This window comes from Homo sapiens, chromosome 10 (genome assembly GCF_000001405.40).
Source record: "Homo sapiens chromosome 10, GRCh38.p14 Primary Assembly".
Lineage (NCBI taxonomy): Eukaryota > Metazoa > Chordata > Mammalia > Primates > Hominidae > Homo > Homo sapiens.
The window spans coordinates 57960585-57965689 of NC_000010.11; positions in this window are offsets into that span (position 1 = coordinate 57960585).

A 5105-nucleotide genomic window follows, 5' to 3' on the forward strand; every position below is an offset into this window, starting at 1 on the left:
TCCATGTCAAATGATCTCTATAGGCCAACATGGTAATTTATTAATGAATTCTTCTAGGGAGGTTTGTTGTTTTCCTGAGATTAGACAGTCAGCAGGAAACCCATGTGTGTGTTTTTAACACTGCTTAGTAATATCTATGTCAGTGTCTCTACGTACCAGAACATGAGCAACCGGGACAATCCTTTGTCAGATGCTTCTGAGGACCTCCAGGATATAGAGAAATTCATTGTAGTGTTACCGTCATATTAATTGCCAAGAGAGCAGTAAAAAAGTTGAAAAGCTTTATTTGAAAGAATCATTTCAAAAAGCCATTTGTTCCAGATTAAACACAAAGGATATTTTTAATAAACACTTAGCTGCTCATTAATAATAAAAACAAAGGATGCTGTTTGTTCTTATTGTTTATGATATTCTTTCATGATTTCTCTGTGGCACTGTAATGGTGGTGGCTTTCGAACAGATGAATATGAGAAGCAAATTCTCTGAAATAAATTTCAGTTTTGTATCTCTTTGTAACAGAAATTTTAGTCTTCAATTCGTGTCTTTTTGTAAGCTCAAAGAAACACATGTGTATTATATTCATGTAAGAAACTACATTGCAATAATATTTGAGTCCCTCTTGATGTTTAATAAATGTCAGTACAAAAAGCACAGCTTTTATGGGAAAAAAGCATCTTTTTTTGCTGTATGGGCTGAGTCCTTAAGGTTCATTAAAATACATAGAAAGTTCTGTCATTTTCTTCCAATATAAGGTTTCACTATGATTGGCATGAGAATGGCTTAGCATATAAAATGAGAGGTCTCATGGAATGTCAGGACTAGATAAGGTTCAAAAGTCACTCACCCAAAATTTTCAAATTGCCCCTGGTTGAGCACCACTGGCCTATGTGGATAATTTTGGTATCTTGACACAGGACACCCTATTCAAGATACTGAAGAGTGAGAACACAACTCTTCTGTTTCTCCATGAAAGGTATAAAGAAAGAAAAGAAAAATACATACTCTCCCTTAATCTTGAGAAAACTTACCACATAGAATTATGTAGGAATAATCACCCTTAAAGCTTCCTTCAAACTCCCTGAATAATAAACATCATAAACTGTTTTACGATGAAGTTGAATAAGCAGTGACAATACTGGAATGTCTCACATTCTTACACTGAAATAAATTTTGAAATACTAATGATGAAAGCACGATTATCATCACACTGTTACAGTTCATTTTAACATTTAAGTTCCTCAGATACATGGAGTCTGGTATTATCCATATATCTATAAGGCAAAATTAATAAATATTTAAGAAAGAAGATGAGAATACAAAACTAATGTACTGAGAATTCTAGTTAAGATGTCTTATGATTTCAAGATACAAAGACCCATGAAGCCTAGCTTAAGTAAAAAGGAGAATATGGGAAAAAGATAAAGGGATATATCACAGACCCCAAAGGCAAAAAGTGGGGTACAACTCCATAGTGTACTAGAATTATAATAAAGTGGAAAGTTATGAGAAATTCAGACACAAACCTCCTTTCCTCTGGAACTACATGAACTCTCTTCCCTACTTCTATTTGTGTACCTATTTCATTCCTCTCTATATAAGTGAACTGACTAATTGTGTAGATATGGGGTCAGAAATAGTTACTCAGGTACTAAAACATGTCCTCCCTACTCCAGTGCCTCCAATCAATTATCAGAATCCTGTGTCACAATATGCAAATTTTCAGAGAGAAAGTCTAATATGGCCAGTTTAAGCCAACTGTCCATTGATAGTTCAAATACTTATAGCCAGCCATATAGTATGGTAATATCGTATAGAAATGGACACAAATGGATATCACTCTCAATACACCGGAAAGTTCTCAGAGAAAAAAACAGCATAAGCTAAAAAAAAGATAGAAGACAAAACATCAAACTGCTTAGGGTGCTAACTCTAGCACAACATGAATTTCAAGGCTGTCCCTGTCAGTTACTATGTGACCTTGGACAAGTCAGTTAGTCCTCTCTGTGTCACAATTTCCACATCGGTAAAACAAAAATAATCAGAGTACTTATTTCTTAGTGCTGTTTTTTGCATAAATCATATATAATACTGAGCACAGTGAAAATGGTAAATGTTCAATGAATGTTGTCTATTACTAAAACCATTATACCAAGTGTAGTAGGTAAAATCAGACCCTCTTTCCCCAAATATGACAATGTCTTAACACCCAGAATCTGTAAATGTTAGTTAGGTTACATGGCAAAGGGCAATTAAGGTTGGAGATGGAATTAAGATTACTAGTGAGTTTACATTAAATAATCCTGGATTATGTGGGTGAGTCCTTAAGAGTAGAACAGGAACTCAGAAGAGAGGGACAGAGATATGACCCTGGAAGTAAGGTCAGAGAAATGCTACATTGTTGGCTTTGAAGACGGAAAAACAGGAGCTATGAGCCAAGGAATATGAGCAACCTCTAAGAAGTGTCAACAGCAAAGAAACAGACCCTACCCAGAGCCTACAGAAAGGAATGTAGCCCGGTCAATGGCTTGATTTGAGCTCACTGAGTCCTAGGGCAGACTTTTGACCTACAGAATTGTAACATAATAATTTGTTGTTATTTAAGCTGATAAATTTGTGGTAACTTGTTATGACAGCAACGGAAAACTAATAAACTGAGATTTTTAAATCTTACTCAAATGTTGTTCAATGATCACCACAATTATAAAATTTCAAGTAAAAATAATTCATAACAATAATAATTCCTGATGTGTTAAAAAAAAAAAAAAAAAAAAGTCAGGCACAGTGGCTCACACCTGTAATCCCAGTGCTTTGGAAGGGCAAGGTGGGAGGATTGCCTGAGGCCAAGAGTTCAAGACCAGCCTGGGTGTATTAGTTCCTTTTCATGCTGCTTATAAAGACATACCTGAGGCTGGGAAGAAAAAGAGGTTTAATGGACTTATAGTTCCATACGGCTGGGGAGGCCTCATAATCATGACAGAAGACAAGGAGAAGCAAGTCACATCTTACATGAATGGCAGCAGGCAAAGAAAGAGAGAACTTTTTCAGGGGGACCCCTTTTTTTAAAACCATCAGATCTTGTGAGACTTATTCACTTGTCATGAGACCAGCACAGGAAAGACCTACCCATGATTCAATTACCTCCTACCAGGTCCCTCCCACAACATGTGGGAATTCAAGATAAGATTCTGGTGGGGGCACAGTCAAGTCATATCACTGGGCAACGTAGAAAGAACTCATTTCTACAAAAAGAAAATGAAAATACATATTTTAACAGGTGTGATGTCACACAACCATAGATCCAGCTACTCAAGAGGCTGAGGCAGAAAAATCGCTTGAGCCCAGGCATTCATGGCTTCAATGAGCTATTACTGCCTGTGCATTCCAGCCTGGTGGCAGAGTGAGACCCTGTCTCTAAAAAAAATAATAAAAATAAAAATAAAATTGTAACCTTACCAAGGCAAGCTCTCACAAAACTAGCCATGAGGTTTGTTTCTCTTCAGTGCTCACCCCTCCAATTTCCACTGGTTGCTTCCCTTCCTTTTCAGTACCTCACTCAGCACACACTATCTTCCCACTGCACCCTGGCTTTTTCCCCTTCTTAACCCTACTAGATGAGAAGGGACACCTGTCCTTGGGACTATTTCAATTTCCTAGTCCAACACACTCCCTCTATACCTAATTCCTTCAGAACCATGTTTATATCTAATATATAGTTAACCAACCAATCCATACACCCGTATTCCTGAATATTCTGCATTTAACAGCATTTTCCAGAGGAAACAGTCTTACAAGAAAGCAATAATGATCAATGCACAAACATAAGGAGTGCCATCACCATCAATATGAAGAGTATTCCGCAGGACTGTGCAGTGTACACACAGCTAGATGTGGTTTCCCTGCAAATGAGGCATAGCGGGAGTCTGTCCATGACAACAGGGAAACAATTTGAGTTGCCAGCAGTCATTTTGGCCTTCACCCAATGAAATGGCCATGGCAGCCACTCTGTCTGCATACAAGGCTGGATTGAAGAGTTAGTCAGCGGTGAGTTGTGCCTAAAGAGCTCACTGACACAGAACCACTGAGAGAGTGTGCATCCTCTCCTGGCAGGTCTTCTGAGGCCTTGAGATAATCATAGGTAAGACAGAAAGCTTCTTCCTGAAGCCATAGATGTTCCATTATTATCCTGAATAGCAACCAAAACACTTCTTGAAAATACTAAACTACTAACACAGCTTTAAAAAAAGAAAAGGGAAAGAATCAACCTGCATGAGGACAAAAACAAAGATTGTCTATTTTTTCCAGACTAAAAAATAAAGCCTAGAAAGGAAATTTTCAAAAAAATGAATAAACAAACCAATTTCTCAGGAGAATTAGCTCTTTTAGTGCCAATAAATTGCACTTAGCTCATTCTATAAATAAATTTGTGTAAGACAATAGACTTTTTACATGTACAAAGAATCTCATTATTTCTTTTCAAAAGACATTTAGAAAGCACAATATTCAAAGAATAATAGGAAAAAAAACCAGTAACATAAATTTCAACACAGATGAAAACAAAACTGTTAGTTCTGATCTCTTTCAAGATACTAGCCAAAATATTACCATCATCTGAGAAGCCAGTCTTATAGGATCGACAGATCCTTTCAATTTATTAAAACTAGGAAAAATATATTAGCTTTAGAACCCAATAAGAGAGCCACATAGCATATCTGCGGTATTTAACAAAGAGTGCTTACACACCAACATTGAGATATCAGGTAAGTATCCAAGATCCAAAGGAAACAGTGAGACCCTCCAAGGCAAGAGTAACAAGAAATAACAGTAACATTAGTGATGAAAATAAAAATTAATACAAAGTAAAAAACATGAGTGCCTTAGCTTGATTCAGAAACTGTAGGAGCAGGGTGGAACTAAAGAAGATTTAAGGGGCTCATAATCTGCAGTGAGGCAGTAGCAGGTGATAGTTTGCCTTCTCAGAGTAACCAGGGCAAAGAGTGACATCTGAGATGGAGAATAAAGTCAGGCTCGTAGCCGAAATCCAGGACATGAGGGGGGGCTTCCCACCTCCTGAGGGGGGCCTCGAATCAACTCTTGCTTAAGAAATT